The 22929-nt window shown below is 46.8% G+C and overlaps 1 long non-coding RNA gene across 2 annotated transcripts in view; it reads left to right on the top strand.

Annotated features, from left to right (window-relative positions):
- Window positions 1–22929, top strand: part of LOC105372225 (uncharacterized) — a 62644-nt gene that overhangs the window by 28600 nt on the left and 11115 nt on the right. For both annotated transcript variants that reach the window (XR_001753514.2, XR_001753513.2), the window contains exon 2: window positions 11399–11553. This is a non-coding gene — a long non-coding RNA (uncharacterized LOC105372225). The remainder of the gene's footprint in view (window positions 1–11398; window positions 11554–22929) is intronic.

Genomic DNA, 22929 nt, shown 5'->3' with positions numbered 1-22929 from the left:
GGAGGGTGAGAGTCATGGAAGGCTATGAGACATGGCAGCCATGAGGACTGAATCTAGAACCAGGATGCCTGGGTGGAGGGTGAGAGTCATGGAAGGCTATGAGACATGGCAGCCATGAGGACTGAATCTAGAACCAGGATGCCTGGGTGGAGGGTGAGAGTCATGGAAGGCTATGAGACATGGCAGCCATGAGGACTGAATCTAGAACCAGGATGCCTGGGTGGAGGGTGAGAGTCATGGAAGGCTATGAGACATGGCAGCCTTGAGGACTGAATCTAGAACCAGGATGCCTGGGTGGAGGGTGAGAGTCATGGAAGGCTCTGAGATATGGCAGCCATGAGGACTGAATCTAGAACCAGGATGCCTGGGTGGAGGGTGAGAGTCATGGAAGGCTATGAGACATGGCAGCCTTGAGGACTGAATCTAGAACCAGGATGCCTGGGTGGAGGGTGAGAGTCGTGGAAGGCTCTGAGACATGGCAGCCATGAGGACTGAATCTAGAACCAGGATGCCTGGGTGGAGGGTGAGAGTCATGGAAGGCTATGAGACATGGCAGCCATGAGGACTGAATCTAGAACCAGGATGCCTGGGTGGAGGGTGAGAGTCATGGAAGGCTATGAGACATGGCAGCCATGAGGACTGAATCTAGAACCAGGATGCCTGGGTGGAGGGTGAGAGTTGTGGAAGGCTCTGAGATATGGCAGCCATGAGGACTGAATCTAGAACCAGGATGCCTGGGTGGAGGGTGAGAGTTGTGGAAGGCTATGAGACATGGCAGCCATGAGGACTGAATCTAGAACCAGGATGCCTGGGTGGAGGGTGAGAGTCATGGAAGGCTATGAGACATGGCAGCCATGAGGACTGAATCTAGAACCAGGATGCCTGGGTGGAGGGTGAGAGTTGTGGAAGGCTATGAGACATGGCAGCCATGAGGACTGAATCTAGAACCAGGATGCCTGGGTGGAGGGTGAGAGTTGTGGAAGGCTCTGAGATATGGCAGCCATGAGGACTGAATCTAGAACCAGGATGCCTGGGTGGAGGGTGAGAGTCGTGGAAGGCTCTGAGACATGGCAGCCATGAGGACTGAATCTAGAACCAGGATGCCTGGGTGGAGGGTGAGAGTTGTGGAAGGCTCTGAGATATGGCAGCCATGAGGACTGAATCTAGAACCAGGATGCCTGGGTGGAGGGTGAGAGTCGTGGAAGGCTCTGAGACATGGCAGCCTTGAGGACTGAATCTAGAACCAGGATGCCTGGGTGGAGGGTGAGAGTCGTGGAAGGCTATGAGACATGGCAGCCATGAGGACTGAATCTAGAACCAGGATGCCTGGGTGGAGGGTGAGAGTCATGGAAGGCTATGAGACATGGCAGCCATGAGGACTGAATCTAGAACCAGGATGCCTGGGTGGAGGGTGAGAGTCATGGAAGGCTATGAGACATGGCAGCCATGAGGACTGAATCTAGAACCAGGATGCCTGGGTGGAGGGTGAGAGTCGTGGAAGGCTATGAGACATGGCAGCCATGAGGACTGAATCTAGAACCAGGATGCCTGGGTGGAGGGTGAGAGTTGTGGAAGGCTCTGAGACATGGCAGCCATGAGGACTGAATCTAGAACCAGGATGCCTGGGTGGAGGGTGAGAGTCATGGAAGGCTCTGAGACATGGCAGCCATGAGGACTGAATCTAGAACCAGGATGCCTGGGTGGAGGGTGAGAGTCATGGAAGGCTATGAGACATGGCAGCCATGAGGACTGAATCTAGAACCAGGATGCCTGGGTGGAGGGTGAGAGTCATGGAAGGCTCTGAGACATGGCAGCCATGAGGACTGAATCTAGAACCAGGATGCCTGGGTGGAGGGTGAGAGTCATGGAAGGCTATGAGACATGGCAGCCTTGAGGACTGAATCTAGAACCAGGATGCCTGGGTGGAGGGTGAGAGTTGTGGAAGGCTCTGAGATATGGCAGCCATGAGGACTGAATCTAGAACCAGGATGCCTGGGTGGAGGGTGAGAGTCATGGAAGGCTCTGAGACATGGCAGCCATGAGGACTGAATCTAGAACCAGGATGCCTGGGTGGAGGGTGAGAGTCATGGAAGGCTATGAGACATGGCAGCCATGAGGACTGAATCTAGAACCAGGATGCCTGGGTGGAGGGTGAGAGTTGTGGAAGGCTATGAGACATGGCAGCCATGAGGACTGAATCTAGAACCAGGATGCCTGAGTTTGAATTTCATCTCCACCACTTTCTCCTTTGGTGACCCTAGCCAAAGTATTTCACTTCTTTATCACTTGCTTTCTTCATCTGTAAGATGGGGATAATAATAGTCCCAATTTTATAGGTTGTTAGAAGGAATAAATGACTCATGATTTCTGAAGTTCTTAGAACAGTGCGAGTATTGTATGAAGTATTATATAAGGTAAGCCCTATAAGTGCTTGTGGAATGGAAAGCCTTCAGAAATTAAAAAACGAAAACAGAGAAACCCGTGCAATCACTGCACTTTTTTATTTTTACCTTTTGGCCAGCCCAGTGGGAGCTGGATAAGCACATTTTAGCTTCTTGTAGTAGGATCACATCATTACAGAGCCCCATATAAACACAACAACCTTCCTGGTGTGATCATGGCAACCATGGGGAGCACCTCGATCTATACCCACACCACAGAACGCACCGCAGAAGCAATCAGCACAGGCCCGACAGCAGTGCATGTTTTTAGAACTAGACCCCTAAAGCAAGAAACAAAACTCTAGGCCCAGCATGATATTGCCCTAATTATGTCACGTGGGGATCTGTTTATATGTAGGTAATGTATATATCAAGAAAGACTGGAAAGAAATGCACACAAATGTTAGCCAAAATATTTAACAGTAGTGGGACTTGGGATGATTTTACTCCTTTTTATTTTTATTTATATTTGCCATGTGTTCTACAATGAACATGAATAGTATCAAAATTTGAAAGGAAAAAACTTTTAAAAGTGGGAGTTCTTCAAGGGGAAATTTTTCTTTTTAATTTCCTAGTAAAAAATAAAAATGTGAAGTTCAGAAACCCTTGTGGCGAAACACATATAATTTGTAAAAAACCCCTAAAATGAAGACGATGATGGGTTCTTTTCTGAGAACATGCAGGGAGGAAGGCATGGTCCTCTGCCAGGGGTCGGGGTCTCACCAGGTAGGAGGCGGGGCTCAGCATTGTTGATATGGTTTGGATGTGTGTCCCCGCCCAAATCTCATGTTGAATTGTCATCCCCAATGTTGGAGGAGGGGCCTGGGAGGAGGTGATGGGATCATGGAGGTGGCTTTCCCCCTTGCTGTTCCTGTGATGGTGAGTGAGTTCTCGTGAGATCTGGTTGTTGAAAAGTGTGTGGCACCTCCCGCTTCACTCTCTTCCTCCTTCTCCGGCCATGTGAAGACATGCCGGCTTCTTCTTTGCCTTCCGCCATGACTGTAAGTTTCCTGAGGCCTCCCCAGCCATGATTCCTGTACAGTCTGAGGAACCATGAGCCAGTTAAACCTCTTTTCTTCATAAATTACCCAGTTTCAGGTGGTTCTTCATAGCAGTGAGAGCACGGACTAATACAGTTGTCTACCCAACCCTCTGGCCCAGGGCTGGAGCTGGGGCATGAGACAACAGTCTTTGCCTTGAAACAGAAATGTTGACCTTTGTCAGCCCTGTGGCCAAAGTGGAAATTTCAGACCATGTGGGAATCGCAGGATTTGTCCTCCATCCGTGCATCATATTTTATTATGTTGGCAAAAATTATTTGTGCACTAACCAAATACTTGGTTACGTGTGCCTGGTTAATAAAGACTCATTACATTATAAATGGTGGATGTTAAAGAGATGTACTGGCCGGGCACAGTGGCTCACTTGTGTAATCCCAGCACTTTGGGAGGCCGAGGCAGGCGGATCACGAGGTCAGGAGTTAGAGACCAGCCTGACCAACATAGTGAAACCCCATCTCTACTAAAAATACAAAAATTAGCTGGGTCTGGTGGTGCATGCCTGTTATCCCAGCTACTCAGGAGGCGGAAGGCAGGAGAATCGCTTGAATCCAGGAGGCGGAGGTTGCAGTGAGCCAAGATCGTGCCACTGCACTCCAGCCTGGGCAACAGAGTGAGACTCCATTTCAAAAAAAAAAAAAAAGTAATCGTGAAACCTGCTTTTGTCAATCTTGATTATGTTGATTAAAGTATGAAAATTGGGCTCTTCCTATGATGTCAACAAATAATTGTTCAGGAATGCGAAATGTGGGCAACTAGGCACACATTCTTTTCACACTGGCTCTCAGCCACCTAGGAATATGAGGATGTGGCTGTTGGGACAACTAAACAGAAGATGACTTGTGTTTCCTTCAGAAGGTCCCAGACACAGCCATGGGATTTAAAAGTTGAAGAGATCATCACATTCTCACCCATCTCATTTCATAATTTTATGTAGGCTGAGGCGTGAAGTGAGGGGGCACCATTGCTTGAGTGAGAAGCATTTGCTGAAGATCCGTCAGACCCAGCAAGTGGCAGACCACAGCCTACATGCCTGCACGTGCTCACCGTGCACATTCCAGGACAGCACTGTCAGCAGAGAGCACCTGCGGACTCAGCTGCGGCTCTCCTGCCTCCCTCTACACACTCGTCAACGCCACTGCCTCAGCCCCCAGAGACAAGTGTCAGTCGCCCAGAGATCATTCCAACCAGCCCTGCCAGGCATTATTTTCACATCACAGCTCACTTTTCTGAATTCCAAGTCCCAGTTTTGTTTCTCTCAGGTCTGTTATCCTGTGGGCCTTTACTAATTTATGTGGTTGAATTATAGGATTGGAAGGAATGAACATGAAAGAAATTCAAGCTCTACGATTTCTATGGAAAAATTGAATTATGGCAAAATTTACAACTTTCGTGTTTTAAAGGTCGCTATTGAGAAAGCAAAAACACAACCCACAGAATGGAAAAAGAAATATTTGAAAACCATATGTCTAACAAGGGATTTGCATCTAGAAAATATAAAGAACCCTACAACTCACTAATAAGAAGATAAATGACCCAAATAACAAACGGGCAAAAGACTTGAATAGACATTTGTCCAAAGAAGATGTGGAAATGGTCAACATGCACATGAGAGGATGCTCAACATTGGCCATTAGGAAAATGCCAATCAAAGTCATAATGAGGCAACAGTTTACACTCATCAGGATGACTACAGTGAGAAAGACAGACAATAACAAGTGTTGGCAAAGATGGAGAGAAATTGGAACTCACATATACTGCTGGTGGGAATGCAAAATGGTGCCTTTGCTTTGGAAAGCAGTCTGGCAGTTCCTTAAAGGGTGAAATGTAGACATCATTTAACATACCTATTCCACCCCTTGGGATATACCCATGAGAAAAGAAATATGTCCACACGAAAACTTGTACATGAATATGTATAGAAGCATTAGTAATAATAATCAAAAGGTGAAAACAACCCAAATGTTCATCCTGATGAATGGGTTACAAAATGTGGTATATCCACATAGTGGAATGTTACTCACCATGAAAAGGAATGAGGCACTGGTACCTGCTACAATGCAGACAAAACTTATGCTGAGTAAAAGAAGCCAGTCGTGAAAGGCCTTGTATTGTATGGATTTATTTGTATAATATTTCCAGAATAGGCAAATCCAAAGAAACAAAGAGCAGATTGGTGGGTGCTTAGGCATGGGGATTTTGTAGAATTCCATTTGGATTTATCTGTAATGTTTTGAGTGTATCTCTTTGTATAGCTTGTTTGGTGACAGCTCTAGGTATTACATTATATATGTCTAGTGATCACAGTCTATTGGTGTTCTCATTTTACCAGTTCAGTTGGAGTATAGCAATCTTATCTCCCAGTAGTACATTCCTTTATTTTCTTATTTTTATTTTTTATATTTTTGAGACGGAGTCCTGCTCTGTTGCCCAGGCTGGAGTGCAGTGGCATGATCTCAGCTCACTGCAACCTCCACCTCCTGGGTTCAAGCAATTCTATGCTTCAGCCTCCCAAGTAGCTGGGATTACAGGTGCCCACCACCACACCCAGCTAATTTTTGTATTTAGTAGAGATGGGGTTTCACCATCTTGGCCAGCCTGGTCTTGAACTCCTGACCTTGTGATCTGCTCACCTTGGCCTCCCAAAGTGCTGGGATTACAAGCATGAGCCACTGTGCCCGGCCATCCCTTTATTTTATTTTTATTTATTTATTTATTTATTTTTGAGATGGAGTCTCACTCTGTCACCCAGGCTGGAGTGCAGTGGCACAATCTTGGCTCACTGCAACCTCTGCCTCCCAGGTTCAGGGGATTCTCCTGCCTCAGCCTCCCAAGTAGCTGGGATTACAGGCACCCACCCACACCCAGCTAATTTTTGTATTTTTAGTAGAGATGGGGTTTCACCATGTTAGCCAGGCTGGTCTTGAACTCCTGACCTCAAGTGATCCACCCACCTGGGCCTCCCAAAGTGCTGGGATTACACAAGTGAGCCGCCATGCCCGGCCAGTACTTCTCTTTAACATCCACCATTTATAATGTAATTTTCTTAAATATTTCTTCTCTACCTATTTACAGCCACATCAGACAATGTTATACTTACTTCAACAGTCGAATATAATTTGCTTAAGAGGAGAATGAAAGCCTATTATATTTACTCATATTTTGGCTTACCATGTTCTTTCTTCCCGATGATTCAAGGTTATTTCTTATGTCATTCCATTTCTATTTATAAAAATTCATTTAGCCATTCTTTTAGAGTAAGCCTACTTGCAACAAACTTTCTTAGTTCATCTTCATCTGACAAAGTTGATTTCCCCTTGGTTCCTGAAGAACATTTTTTTTCTGGGCACAGGATTCCTTAAAAAAATACTGTATTTCCTTTATATAAAATTCAAGTAAATGCAAATGAATATTTAGCAACAGAGAGAAGATAAGCAATTGAGAACTGGGTGAGGAGGGAGGAGGATGGCATGATTACAAAGGTTGTTAAACAACTTTTGTGGCTATGAATCTATTCATCGTCCTGATTTTGGTCATGGTTTCATGCTGGGAATAGAATTCTGAGTTGATGGTTCTTTTCTTTCAGCACCTGAAAAATATTTTGCTGCTTTCTTCAGGCCTCCGTGTTTTTTGATGAGAAATCTGCTATCATTTAAATTGTTTTCTCCTATAAGTGAAGTTCTGTTTTTCTCTGGCTGCTTTCAAAGCTTTTTGTCTTTAGTTTCCAAAAGTTTAATTATGACATAGCTTAGTGTGGATTTGGGCTTACCCTGTTTGAGGTTTTTCCAGCTTCTTGAATCTGTAGGTCGTCTCATCAAATTAGAAAATTTTCAGCCATTATTTCTTTCAGTATTTTTTTAGTCCCACTCTTGCTTTTCCTTCTGGTACTCTCTTGATGGGAGTGTTAGATCTTTTCTTATCATCTCACAGGTGTCTCAGGTTCTTTTTTTTCAGTCTATTTTGTCTTTATTGTTCAGGTTGGGTAATTTCTCTTATTCTATCTTCCATTTTACTAATTCTTTTTTCTTCACCCTCCATTTTGCTGTTGAGACCATTGACTGAGCTTTTTATTTGGCTTTTATATTTTTCAGTTCTAAAATTTGTTTGATTCTTCTTTATATCTTCTATTTCTTTGTCAAGATTTTTTGTTTTTTGCCAGGCACAGTGGCTCACGCCTGTAATCCTAGCACTTTGGGAGGCTGAGGTGGGTGGATCACCTGAGGTCAGGAGTTTGAGACCAGCCTGACCAAGACGGTGAAACCCCATCTTTAAAAAATACAAAAATTAGCCGGGCACGGTGGTGGGCACCTGTAATCCAAGCTACTCAGGAGGCTGAGGCAGGAGAATTGCTTGAACCCGGGAAGTGGAGGTTGCAGTGAGCTGAGATTGTGTCATTGCACTCCAGCTTTGGCGACAGAGCAAGACTCCATCTCAAAAAAAAAAAAAAAAGATTTTCTGTTTTTTGTTTTTTGTTTTTTTCATTTGTTTCAAGCATATTTGCAATTGCCTGTTGAAGCATTTTATCATGGATGCTATAAAATCATTGTCAGGATTTTAACATCTCTGCCCTCTCAGCTTGGCCTCTGTTGATTGTCCTTTTCTCATAGTTTGAGATTTTCCTGGTTCTTGCTGTGACAAGTGACTTTATTTTTATTTTTTTATTTTTTGAGATGGAGTCTTACTCTGTTGGCCAGGCTGGAGTACAGTGGCCCAATCTCAGCTCACTGTAGCCTCCACCTCCCAGGTTCAAGTGATTCTCCTGCCTCGGCTTCCCAAGTAGCTGGAACGACAGGCACATGCCACCATGCCTAGCCATTTTTTGTACTTTTTTTTTTCTTTTTTTTTAGTAGAGACAGGGTTTCATCATGTTGGCCAGGCTGGTCTTAAAGTCCTGACCTCAGGTGACCCACCCTCTTTGGCCTCTCAAAGTGCTGGAATTACAGGCATGAGCCACCGCAGCTGGCCACAAGTGACTTTAGATTGAAACCTGGACCCTTTCACATCATGTTAGGAGACTCTGGATCTTATTTAAACCTTCTCTTGTAACTGATTTTTTCTGACAGCACTCCAGCAACAGGAGTGGAGGTGCCCCCTTGTTCCTGCCGGGTGGGGGCAGGAGTCCAGTTCCCCACACAGCCTCTGTTGATGCCTGAGATTGGGGCATGGGGGGTGTCATTGTTATGCTGAACAGCTGTGGCAGTCCTGGCTCCCAGCATGATCACTGCTGGCACCATGGTGGCGGCGGGAGAGTGAAATGGGTAGGGGGTGATGGTGGTATTTGTCCATATCACCACTAGGGGCTGGAGAAAGTCCAGACTCTCCTAGTATGGAGTAGGAGGGGGCCTCTGTTGCTGCCAGTGGGGGTGGACGTCAGGCTCCCCACATGCTCTCTGCTGCCACGGCAGGGTGGGGTCCTCATCTTTAGCTGGCAGGAAGGAAGGTCCTTGTTTGAAACCACACTGGTGGGATACTGGGATCCTCGTTGCAGTCTTGTGAGGGAGGCTGCAGGTGTGGTTAGGGGTAGGGACAGAATTTCGTTGAAGTAGCTGGTAGATGGTCTGAAAATTTTCTCTCATGCTGGGTAGCCCCTTTCCTGGCCCTTAGGCTGGAGAATACAGGCTTTTGTTAATCCTTTTTTTGTCTGTGCCTGGGCTTTTCTGCTACCAGCTTCTCATCCCCACGTCTGAGAGAACCTAGGGGAGGCTCTGCCCCATTCCTCAGGTCCTGAGCTCCCAACCTGTCTGCTTTTGTCTCCCCACCTTCCAGAGTCTTCTTGGGTTTGTTTTACATGTGATATCCAGGGATTTCAGCTGTATTTAGTGAGAGGGAGAAGAAAATGTGTGTTCACTCACCTTCCTGAAAGCAGAAGTCAGTGGTGTGTGCTTTGGTGTGTGCTTGTCGTGTCATTGCTCATCCTGCTGCTTGTCTTTTCACTCTACTGTGTCTTTTAATTAACAGAAGATCTTAATTTTGATCAATTTTTTGTTTTTAATATTTTTTATAATCTGTTTTGAAGAATCTTCACTGAGCCCATAAAGATACTTTGTCCTATGTGATTTTCTAGAAGCTTTATTATTTACTTTTCACATTTAGGCCTACAATTCACCTGGGGTTGAATTTTTTTTTTTGGTATGGGGTGGCACAAGGGCCAAGTTTCCAGTTTTGTCCTGTGGTTATCCCAATGACCAGCACCGTGGATCAAAACCACCACCCTTCCCTTGCTGCTCTGCAAGGTTAATTGGTCATAAATCAAGTATTCATATGTGGGTATGTGTGTTTCCCGACTCTTCATTCTGCCCCACATGTCCTTTGTCTCGCTGAAATCACACTGTCCTGCACGATGGCACTAGGGTCACGTCTTGGCGTTGAGTGATGTGAGCATCAAACTTGGTCTTCAGGATTGCCTTGGCTGTTCTTGAATCTTTGCATTTCCATATAAATTTTAGAACCTGCTCGTCAACTTATAAAATAGCAATCTGGATTTCCATCGTATTGCACTGAATCCATCTATAGACCAAATCCTTACAATTTGTGAACATGGAATAATCCACCATTTATTGAAATCTTTCACCTTTTTGGTTTTTTCGTTTTTGTTTTTCTTTTGAGGCAGAGTCTCACTCTGTCGCCTAGGCTGGAGTGCAGTGGCACAGTCACAGTTCAATGCAGCCTCAACCTCCTGGGCTCGGGCAATCCTCTCACCACAACCTCCTGAGTAAATGGGACCACAGGCGTGCACCACCATGCCCGCCTAATTTTTATTTCATTTTATTTGCAGAGGCGAGATTTCGCCCTGCTGCCCAGGCTGATCTTGAACTCTTAGACTCCTCCCACCTTGGCTTCCCAAAGTACTGGGATTACAGGCGTGAGCCACCATGCCCAATCTGAATTCTTTCACTTTGAAATCCAGTATACCCTTTTTTTTTTTGGAGACGGAGTCTTGCTCTGTCGCCCAGGCTGGAGTGCAGTGGTGCAATCTCGGCTCACTGCAAGCTCCACCTCCCGGGTTCATGCCATTCTCCTGCCTCAGCCTCCTGAGTAGCTGGCACTACAGGTGCCTGCCACCACGCCTGGCTAATTTTTTGTGTTTTTGGTAGAGACGGGGTTTCACCGTGTTAGCCAGGATGGTCTCGATCTCCTGACCTCGTGATCCACCCGCCTCAGCCTCCCAAAGTGCTGAGATTACAGGCGTGAGCCACCGCACCTTGCCAAAATCTAGCGTACTTTGAATATGAGAAAGGCAATGCAGTGTGCATTCCATGTCCCACGTAACACGTTCAGAGGCTCTTGGGAGCGTCCCACAGTCACAGTCAGTCATATACTTCTGAAGGGAAACACGAATATTCACCATTAGCAAATACTCACCTTCATTAGGTTGATGTAAGTAGGTATATACACACGTGTGTATATGCATATATGCATATGTTTATATACATGTATGTGTATATGTATATGTATGTGTGTATATGTACGCACGTGTGTACAGATGGCCCCCAACTTACAATGGGTCGACTTACAGTTTTGTTTTTGAGACAGGGTCTTGCCCTGTCACCCAAGCTGGAGTGCAGAGTGGCACAATCAGGGTTCACTGCAGTCACGACCTCCCTGTTCAATCTATTGTCCCACTTTAGCCTCCATGCAGCTGGGGCTACAGGTGTGAGCCGCCACACCCAGCTAATTTCTGTATTTTTTTGTAGAGACAGGGTCTTGCTATATTGCCCAGGCTGGTCTCGAACTCCTGGGCTCAAGTGATCCTCCTTTCTTGGCCAAAGTTCTGGGATTACAGGCATCAGCCATGGTGCCTGGCCTTAACTTACAATTTTTCTCCTTTACCATGGTGTGAAAGTGATACATATTCAGTAGAAGCAATACCTTGACTTTTGGATTTTGGTCTTTTCCCAGGCTCCTCTCTGCAGCAGAAAGCTGAAGTCCCCAGTCAGCCACGTGCCACCAGGATCCACTGCTCTCTGCGAGCACTGACCATGCTGCCAGGTGATTTTGCTGCCGAGTGATTTTGCCCAGCTGTGGCCTAGGTCAGAGTTCTGAGCAAGTCGAAGGTAGGCGAGGCTAAGGCAGAATGTTCGGTAGGTGAGGTGTATTAAAATCATTCCCAGCTTACGATATTTTCAACTTTTGATGGGTTTATCAATTATATCCCAATGTTCGAGTGTATGTATACATGTATATATGTGTATGTTTATGTGCATGTATAGGTGTGTCTATGCATGTATATACATTGTGTGTATGTACCTATGTGTGTATATGTGTATTTATACATATGTATGTGTATATATAGGATGTTAGATGTATGTGTGTGTATACATATGTGTGTCTGTGTGTGTACATATACAGGATATATATAGGACACACACATACATACTATAAATACCCCCACTAGTTCTGGTCGGGCTTACCATCCAATAAATTATAGAACCACTTCCGGTCTTCAAAGCAGTTCAAGTTTCTCGAAGATAATAGATTGTCACCTGCATCAGCAAAGGCTCTGTGCTTCTACCTCTGACCGAGGGTGACAGAGTTACAGCATCCAGTCTCCAGGTCAGCCACCCAAGGCCAGCAGCCCCGCCCTCCACTCGGCTGTGTTCATACTGCGTGGAATCACGGTGACAGGGATTCCAGCGTCCACATCCTGCCAGGCTGCTGGCTCCTCTGCAGGGCTGGGTTTCACAACGCTGCCCGTGGAACAATGCTCATTTCACATAAAAAAGAAAGCAGCATAATTTGCAGATAACCCTCAATGGGAAACTTGGCAATTTAATTAAAAACAGCTCTTGAGGCCTCAAGTATTTTATTTTTCATAGTGAAAATTCGGAAAACCAGCAACCTACTACCAAGGGAGAGATAGGCGGCTGAGTTATTTTTAGCCATACTTTTCTGGGAACATACCAGAATTGTTCGGGATAATTTGATTTGTATCAATAACCCTGGTAGCTTTTAGTGAGACGTTAGTATACTCGGTGAGTGCCCAGATCTGAGCTTCGAATGGGAGGCTCCAGCCACGCCAATGTGGGGGACTGTGAAGAATACAACCGCGCTGCTTGGTGATTACAAGAAGTCCCTGCAGACGGAGGCGCCACGGCCCAGGACCCGCTGCCCTGACTCCCCGCGCGGGTCCCGGAGCTGGAGCTGGGTGGAGCCACGGGCAGGACTCGGCCCCTGCGCACCTGCCTGGCCACGGGCCGGGGGGAGCAGGACCTGCTGCCCAGCCACACTGGCTTTCTCGTGGGTCCGTGGGCTCATAGCCGTGGCCACGGCTCACAGGGCACCCGTCCTCCAGCAGAAATTTTTCTTCACAATAGAAAGGAGAGCAACACTTTCCGGAGAGAGATACTGTTGAAGACGCGCCCCTGATCCAGCCGGCTGTTGGATTCCATGTCTTTTTCTTGCAAACCAAATTAATTCAACATAAAAAGTCATCCATTTGAAAGGAATTTCCCATCAATGTCACTCAGAGAAGGCGACTTAGGCAATGACGCTTGCGAGAGATACTTTAATGCCGTTATTATATCAGTTTTAGCCAATCTAGCCACAACATCGAGGTGACTGCACCGTTTTTCCTTTCTTTGGTTTTCCATGTTACGTTTCATGACAGAAAATGGAAAGGAGAAAATGGACATGACGATCACACTTGGGTTATGCGCTGGAGAAGAGTCATAAATCTGTGTATTGATTCAGATTTTTAGATACAAGGCCCTATATCTTTCTAGCTAATGAAAGTCAGAGTTTGCTTTTTAACTTAATATCTCGCTGTATTAGAGATGCTTGTACCCATTTTGTTAAACGAGTGGAGTCTGTCTATGAGATGAAGGCATTTTTGGAGTCAGGTTGAGTTCCCTCTGGGAGACAATTCTGAAAGGATTTCTCACATTGAGCCGGCACTGAGTTCCCTTTGTTCTGGATGATCTTTTCAAGGGTGTTTATGTAGCAAGCAGCCTCGGAAGGTGAAGACAGTGTCTCCCCAGGAGCCATGGGCAGGCTTGCTCACAGCCGTGGAAGACAGGAATGATGTTTTCCTTTGGGGCACAGGGCAGGCAAGCTCAGTGCCTGTTATAAAAGGCTCGGGGGCCCTAAGCCCAGGCTCCTCCCATGCCCTGCAGCAGTTTGCAGGCCCTGCCTGGTCCTCATCGCACACCCCGTGGGAACTGCTGCAAGGTGCTGGGGTGCTGGCTCCTGCTGGTGGTGTGAGTAATAGACTGTCCTTTCTCTCTGACCCAGGAGTCTCGTATCTTCTGCCAGCATCCCTGAACGTGTGCAGGCCAACTCTTAGCTTGTAACGGGTAAAATCCCAGCTCCTTCCCAGTTCTTGGCAGTGCCTAACATGTTCTGGGTATAAATAATAACAATCTAATCTTCAGATATTCTGAAGTTGTTTATAATAGCATGCACGAGTAGAGTAACAGTTATTATTCCTCCTTGGCCAGATAGGAAAACAGATTCAGAAAGACCAGGTAACTTTCTGAAGGCCACAGAGGGATTTTTGTAGCCACTTACGTACAACAGAGAGCTGAATCCCCAACCTCTTCATGTTGTAATATTACAAGCAGGCAGGGTCTGTTTCTCAAAGGATTTGGAGGAAATATAAGTGCAAATAAAAGAAGAAGAAACATGCAGGATTCAGTTGGAGTAGACAGGTATTGAGAGACATTATGGGCTGTGGAGGGGACAATTGCTGTGTGACTCCAGAACAGAAGGGTCTTGCCTCAGGCGACAACACCAAGAAGCCTGGGCAGCAGCCCGGACTGGCCTGGCGTGTTCCACCTGGGGCAGCTGTGTTGAGCCTGGTTGTGCCTGTGAATGCGTATAACAGCAGTCCCTCTAATCGGGGTCAGCTGTCTCTGCTGTTTCTAAGCCCGGAAGGCCTGGCCCCTCAGTGGAGTGTGCACAGTCACCAGATTGCCGCCCGCTTGTGGATTAGGCTCTCATTCCCACTTTCCAATTGCAGCAGCATGTGCTCAGGTGGAAGCTCCAATGTGGAGGTGAGCTCATGGCTTCCAGCTTGGAAGCTCAGCTCTTCACAACCCATTTTGGTTTGACAAATGTCTATACTTTGGTGACTACAAATAAGCATGAAAATTAAACAATGAAACTCAAGCCTGATATGAATATTTTGTTTGTTTTTAAAGCTCAGCTCCGGGGCCAGGCACAGTGGCTCATGCCTGTAATCCCAGCACTTTGGGAGGCCGAGTCGGGTGGATAACCTGAGGTCAGGAGTTCGAGACCAGCCTGGCCAACATGGTGAAATCCTGTCTCTACTAAAAATACACAGATTAGCCAGGTTTGGTGGCGGGCGCCTGTAATCCCAGCCACTTGGAGGCTGAGGCAGGAGAATCACTTGAACCCGGGAGGTGGAGGTTGCAGTGAGCCGAGATCACGCCACTGCACTCCAGCCTGGGTGACAGAGCGAGACTCCGTCTCAATAAAAATAAATAAATAAAAAAAATAAAGCCCAGCTCCTGCTAGGAGAGAGGTTGGTGCTGAGAGATTGGGAGTAATTATAGACTGGAATGGCACCTGCAGTGGAGGGGACTCTTAGAGGTGGCTGCAGACTGGAGGTCACCCTGACAACACCCAGGTGTCTACAGACTCCCCTTAGCTAGAGGTGCAGAGCCCACATAGCAGGCATTGCTGTAAAACATGAGACTCCTACTTGCTTTTATTTGTGCAGGAAATAAGAACAGAAATAGCCAAAGCTACTGACGTACTAAAAACATCAACACTGTGCCCAAAAGCAGCACTCACAGACAGACATCCGCAGAGCAGTGCATTGTAAGCAGCCAGGCTTGAGGATACCTGACTTAAAGGACAGTGTATCATAAGCAGCCAGGCGTGAGGATACTTGACTTAAAGGAAAAGCAACAGGCCAAGCGAAACGATGAGACAGTCGGCACACACCGCCTTCATCTGTGCAGGGTGCTGTAAAAAAAACACCTGAGACTGTGATTTATAAGCAGCAGAACCTATTGCTCACAGTTCTGGAGGCTGGAAGTCCAAGATCAAAGTGTGGCAAGATCTGGTGTCCAGTGAGGGACCATCCCTCATGGCCAGCACCTTCTGGCAGTGGTCTCACGAGGTGAAAGGGATGAATGAGCTCCCTCGGGCCCTTTTATAAGGCCCCTAATCACATTTTTATGAGGGTTCCGCCCTGTGATCTAGTCCCTTCCAGGAGCCCCACATCCTAGCACCATCACCTTAGGGACTGGCTTCCAGCGTATGCATTTTGGAGGGACACGGACATTCAGACCACAGCACATGAACTCAGGGTGCACCAGAAGTGGTGAGAACTGGCAAATGGGACCCCTGCACTTGTGCAGAGGACAGCTGAGACTCAGCTCCAAGCAAGGGTGACGGTGCAGGAATGCAGGCCCAACAGGTCCAGATCTAGTCTGCTTTGCAGAAGTGGGAAATCTGGGTTTGGGGGTAAATGGGGCACAATTTCATAACCCAGCCAATTAAAAAGAACAGCAGAGCATAGTGGGCAGGACTCATCCGGGCTAGCGTGCTGAGGTCGGCCCGTCCCACCATTCTGCAAGCTCTGCTTTAGAGCCTGAATTTGAGCACTCCCAGGGAGAGAGCCTGGGCTTGAGGAGCGCGAGACGTGCTGGTTGTTCTCCTCGTCCCTGCAGGTGCATTGTCTGCCTCTGCGTGTGCTATGCCCGGGAAGCTGACTGCTGAGGCGCACTGGCCTCTGAGGGCCAAGTGGACCCAGAGACAGGGGGCAGGAGGTCTGTGGGGGAGGAGGAGGGGCTTCAGTGGCGTCCCCTCGATCTCTTCTTGCGGTGTGGTCTGGTGGCAACTGTGTGTGTCAGCCTCTGTCCTCTGCTCCACCCACTGCTCCATCCAGACGGCAGGACCCTCAAGCCCCGCTCTTGCTGGGTCCCTGGGAGGCTCGGCCGCCACTGGCTCCCATAGCCCTGCTGTCCCTCTGTGAGCAGTCCGCCACTGAACGCTCCTGTGAAAGGCTTCTGTGCTCCCACTGCTTCCTGCCAGGGCCCTGACCAATGGGAGCCCTAATATAAGAAGGGGCCTGTTGTGGGCTCAGCTGTGTCCCACCAAAAGATGAGTTCCAGGATGAGCCGTCTGAGTCTGTGAATGTGGCCCTATGTGGAAAGAGGGTCTTTGCAGATGTGATTCATTAAGATGAAATCATAGTGGGGGAGGGTGGACCCTAAACCCAGTGACTGGTGTCCTCATAAGACAAGAAGGGATACACAGAGACACATCGGGGGAGATGGCCATGTGAAGATGGAGGCGGGGGTTGGACGGAGGCGACTACCAATGCCAGGGAGTGCTTGGAGCCACCAGCCGCTGGTTGACGGAAGGAAGGACCCCCCTCATGGCTCCAGAGGGAGCGTGGCTGCAAACACCTTGATCTTGGACTTCTCGTCCCAGAACTGTGAGAGGATGAATTTCTGTGTTGAAAGCCCCCAACTTGTGGTCATTTGTCATGGCGGCCCCAGGACACTTACACATGCCACTCTGGGGGGACACGGGGGTGCCCACAAACGAGAGACCGGGAAGGCAGCACCTTAGCTGATGAAGTGGTGGGAGGTTCACCTGCTTCAAGTGTCTGAGTGTCACCCGGGGAATCGTGGGGAATGGTTGGGTGTTGGCACCCAACCACACCAAAGTGTTGTAGTCATCACAAAGTTCAGGGTTTCCTAAGACGAGCTCTGGGGTCGACTATTTTTGGGAACTGTGCACTCTGCATTCCACTCTTGGAGAGCTAAAACTTCTTGGCTATAAGTCCATGAGTGTATTTAAGGCTCTAAGATCTCCTTCAGCAAAGAAAAGCAGCTTAACCTTACCTTTCATTCAGTGTTTTCCAAAATAAGTTGATTCCCAGGCCAGTGTCTTGCCCCTCACTGCAGTTTCTGCTTTGGCACCACATTGGAAAATAGGCATCACTGTGACTTACGTGGGGAGCAAGTAGGGTAATGCATTTGACACCAGGGCTTTGTGCCTGGGGATGGTAACCATCGATCAAAACACACTCAACATTCATTAGGCCAATATTAAAACTCAAAGTTAGTCAAAGATTGCTTTGGGAAATGCCATTCTGTTGATTTTTCCCTAGAATTAAAGGAATGTCAAATACTAAATTGTCTAAGTTACTGTTTATACTCAAATCCAGACCTAAGCTGGGAGATTTGGTATTAAAACCTCTTAAAAGATTCCCTTCATAGCAATGCTGGCATTGAGAGTGGCATCAGCAACCACTTTGAAAGCACTCATTTTTTTTTTTTTTTTTTTTGAGATGGCGTCTCGCTCTGTCACCCAGGCTGGAGTGCAGTGGTGCAATCTCGGCTCACTGCAATCTCTGCCTCCTGGGTTCAAGCAATTCTCCTGTCTTAGCCTCCCAACTAGCTGGGACTACAGGCGCACACCACCAAGCCTGGCTAATTTTTGTATTTTTAGTAGAGACAGGGTTTCACCATGCTGGCCAGGCTGGTCTTGAACTCCCGCCTTCAGGTGATCCACCTACCTCCGCCTCCCAAAGTGCTGGAATTAAAGGTGTGAGCCACTGCACTTAGCTGAAAGCACACATTTTTAATAACCAAGAGATTATGAGGCTTCTTTTATTTCTTGAGTGATCAAAGACCTGATAACTCCAAATACTCTGAAAAGTAGTAAGGCGGAGCGGAGAGGGGAGGTACTGATCCCACACCCGGTCATGTGGTGTGTTTGATTTAAGTTGTAAGGAGGGGACTGATCACACACCCGGTCATGAGGTGTGTTTGATTTAAGTAGTAAGGAGGGGACTGATCCCACACCCGGTCATGAGGTGTGTTGGATTTAAGTAGTAAGGAGGGGACTGATCCCACACCCGGTCATGAGGTGTGTTGGATTTAAGTAGTAAGGAGGGGACTGATCACACACCCGGTCATGAGGTGTGTTTGATTTAAGTAGTAAGGAGGGGACTGATCACACACCCGGTCATGGAGTGTGTTTGATTTAAGTAGTAAGGAGGGGGCTGATCACACACCCGGTCATGCAGTGTGTTTGATTTAAGTAGTAAGGAGGGGGCTGATCACACACCTGGTCATGCAGTGTGTTTGATTTAAGTAGTAAGGAGGGGGCTGATCACACTCCCGGTCATGCAGTGTGTTTGATTTAAGTAGTAAGGAGGGGGCTGATCCCACACCCGGTCATGCAGTGTGTTTGATTTAAGTAGTAAGGAGGGGACTGATCACACACCTGGTCATGCAGTGTGTTTGATTTAAGTAGTAAGGAGGGGACTGATCACACACCCGGTCATGCAGTGTGTTTGATTTAAGTAGTAAGGAGGGGGGGACTGATCACACACCCGGTCATGGAGTGTGTTTGATTTAAGTAGTAAGGAGGGGGCTGATCACACACCCGGTCATGGAGTGTGTTTGATTTAAGTAGTAAGGAGGGGGCTGATCCCACACCCGGTCATGCAGTGTGTTTGATTTAAGTAGTAAGGAGGGGGCTGATCACACACCCGGTCATGGAGTGTGTTTGATTTAAGTAGTAAGGAGGGGGACTGATCCCACACCCGGTCATGGAGTGTGTTTGATTTAAGTAGTAAGGAGGGGACTGATCCCACACCCGGTCATGCAGTGTGTTTGATTTAAGTAGTAAGGAGGGGGCTGATCACACACCCGGTCATGAGGTGTGTTTGATTTAAGTAGTAAGGAGGGGGCTGATCACACACCCGGTCATGGAGTGTGTTTGATTTAAGTAGTAAGGAGGGGACTGATCCCACACCCGGTCATGCAGTGTGTTTGATTTAAGTAGTAAGGAGGGGGGGACTGATCACACACCCGGTCATGGAGTGTGTTTGATTTAAGTAGTAAGGAGGGGGCTGATCACACACCCGGTCATGGAGTGTGTTTGATTTAAGTAGTAAGGAGGGGGCTGATCCCACACCCGGTCATGCAGTGTGTTTGATTTAAGTAGTAAGGAGGGGGCTGATCACACACCCGGTCATGGAGTGTGTTTGATTTAAGTAGTAAGGAGGGGGCTGATCCCACACCCGGTCATGGAGTGTGTTTGATTTAAGTAGTAAGGAGGGGACTGATCCCACACCCGGTCATGCAGTGTGTTTGATTTAAGTAGTAAGGAGGGGGCTGATCACACACCCGGTCATGAGGTGTGTTTGATTTAAGTAGTAAGGAGGGGGCTGATCACACACCCGGTCATGGAGTGTGTTTGATTTAAGTAGTAAGGAGGGGGCTGATCCCACACCCGGTCATGCAGTGTGTTTGATTTAAGTAGTAAGGAGGGGGGTGATCCCACACCCGGTCATGCAGTGTGTTTGATTTAAGTAGTAAGGAGGGGGGGACTGATCACACACCCGGTCATGCAGTGTGTTTGATTTAAGTAGTAAGGAGGGGACTGATCCCACACCCGGTCATGCAGTGTGTTTGATTTAAGTAGTAAGGAGGGGACTGATCCCACACCCGGTCATGCAGTGTGTTTGATTTAAGTAGTAAGGAGGGGACTGATCCCACACCCGGTCATGCAGTGTGTTTGATTTAAGTAGTAAGGAGGGGGGGACTGATCACACACCCGGTCATGGAGTGTGTTTGATTTAAGTAGTAAGGAGGGGGCTGATCACACACCCGGTCATGGAGTGTGTTTGATTTAAGTAGTAAGGAGGGGGCTGATCACACACCCGGTCATGAGGTGTGTTTGATTTAAGTAGTAAGGAGGGGGCTGATCACACACCCGGTCATGGAGTGTGTTTGATTTAAGTAGTAAGGAGGGGACTGATCACACACCCGGTCATGCAGTGTGTTTGATTTAAGTAGTAAGGAGGGGACTGATCCCACACCCGGTCATGCAGTGTGTTTGATTTAAGTAGTAAGGAGGGGACTGATCCCACACCCGGTCATGCAGTGTGTTTGATTTAAGTAGTAAGGAGGGGGCTGATCACACTCCCGGTCATGCAGTGTGTTTGATTTAAGTAGTAAGGAGGGGGCTGATCCCACACCCGGTCATGCAGTGTGTTTGATTTAAGTAGTAAGGAGGGGGCTGATCCCACACCCGGTCATGGAGTGTGTTTGATTTAAGTAGTAAGGAGGGGACTGATCACACACCTGGTCATGCAGTGTGTTTGATTTAAGTAGTAAGGAGGGGGCTGATCCCACACCCGGTCATGCAGTGTGTTTGATTTAAGTAGTAAGGGGGGAACTGATCCCACACCCGGTCATGCAGTGTGTTTGATTTAAGTAGTAAGGGGGGAACTGATCCCACACCCGGTCATGCAGTGTGTTTGATTTAAGTAGTAAGGAGGGGGCTGATCACACACCCGGTCATGAGGTGTCTTTGATTTAAGTAGTAAGGAGGGGGCTGATCACACACCCGGTCATGCAGTGTGTTTGATTTAAGTAGTAAGGAGGGGGCTGATCACACACCCGGTCATGCAGTGTGTTTGATTTAAGTAGTAAGGAGGGGGCTGATCCCACACCCGGTCATGGAGTGTGTTTGATTTAAGTAGTAAGGAGGGGGCTGATCCCACACCCGGTCATGCAGTGTGTTTGATTTAAGTAGTAAGGAGGGGGCTGATCACACACCCGGTCATGCAGTGTGTTTGATTTAAGTAGTAAGGAGGGGGCTGATCACACACCCGGTCATGCAGTGTGTTTGATTTCTCAGGTTTTTCCAAATCCAATTAATTAGGTGTTCATTTCTAATGTGGCCTTTGAACCAAATACCCGTCGGGCAGGTGGCAGGCATACCCTGGTCCATTCCACGGGAGATGCTCTGGCATAACTCAGGGCCTGGCAGATGTCTGTCCCGCTGCATCTGGAGCAAATGGAGTTACCATTTCCTGTGTTAAAAGTCTCTGTTCAGCTGCCTCAGCAGCGTGTTTCTTTCTGTTGAAAGTCCTTCGCCCTGGCACAGTTTCACATTCCTGCCATGGGTCCCGGAGCCCGGGAAGGTTCTCACTGTCGCTAGGCTGATGGGACTTCAAGAGTTTGCTTTCGGCATTTAAGAAAAATGTTACCTTTATAAAAAGAGTTTTGGTTCTGCTATTATTTCTATTACCCAAAACACACCTAAGTGCTTCAATTATGCAGACATTTAAGAACTTATTGTATATTTTCCTCAACAATTGTTTATGCCCTTTTTGCTGAAGATAAATATTTTATCTCGGCTGTGGAAGTGACTTCTTCAGCACTGAGCTGGATTTACAGCACAAAGGGAAAGAAAGCTTTGGGTGGGAAATGCTGTGTGTATAGGCAAACAGCACACACATTCTTTCACAATTTACAGAAAGTGCTTCTCCTGGGTTTTCAGAAGTATCAAAAGTACATATTTGCCCAGACAATTGTTTACTTGGGAGCTGTGCTGTGTATAGTGATGGTGATTCCTCAATTTTATATCTCCTCCAACATTATTCTGTTTTTAATTCTTTGGCGTCCAGATTGTGATACCTTCCCTTCTCCATGGCTAAAAAGACCCCGTATCAGAAGCCAGAGTCATTTATGGGGATAGGACACTCACCTGTGAGTGTTCAATGCAATCCTCCAGCTTTCTGCTTGGTTAAGGGTGCAAAATTATGGTTTTGATTGTGTTTGTCTTCTTAAAGCTTAAACATTTTTGCAGGACAGAACTACCGAGAGTAACAATCCTCCCCTTTATTTTCGCTTTTCTTAAAATCAGTGATTTATTTTTGGAATTTTGTACCATCTCTGGTTGGATGGTTACACCTTGTTTTTCTATTTCTTTGGAATAGCTATACCTGCCCTTTCCTGTATGAATTATAAATAACCCTCCAGAAACCTCAAGAAAAGATCCCAATGTTCATTCTTACATGTGTCTCACCTTAAAAATTGTTGCATTTCATCATTTTCTTACCAAGTCATTTATGACCCTTCCCCAAGTACATTCATGATTCAAAACCAGTGGGATTAAAACCTTTCACCACTGTATTCAAAACCAGTGTGAGTAAAACCCTTCACTGTTGTATTCAAAACCAGTGTGATTAAAACCCTTCACCATATTGTACTAGTGATACATGCATTCAGGGAATTCTTCATAATTGAAAACCTCCTTAAGTTATTCCAATAGATTTAAATTCAATTGAGAGTTACTTACTATATAATACCTTATAAACCTTTATATCTGGAACTGCAAATATTTTTATTTCCATATAAACAATTTTAATATGAAGGGATATAAATGTTTGTCTAGAAACCAAACCCAAAACATAAAATGTTGAAAGAAGGACACATAATTAAGGGATGGAGCAAATGGTAAAAAAAATTGAGAAACAATGAAAAAAGAAACTTAGCAAATATTGGTGCAATAGATGATTCAAGAGTTGCATAAAGTTATCACTAACATTTATGTAATACTATATAACAACCACTGCTCTGAGCACTTCATAAAGAGTCAGGCATCACTTAATAATGAGGGTGTGTTCTGACAAATCGGTCATTAGG

The sequence above is a fragment of the Homo sapiens genome, chromosome 18, assembly GCF_000001405.40.
Source record: "Homo sapiens chromosome 18, GRCh38.p14 Primary Assembly".
NCBI classification, from domain to species: Eukaryota; Metazoa; Chordata; class Mammalia; order Primates; family Hominidae; genus Homo; species Homo sapiens.
The sequence above is the reverse complement of the archived record's forward strand: the minus strand, read 5'-3'. Positions and strand labels throughout refer to the sequence as shown.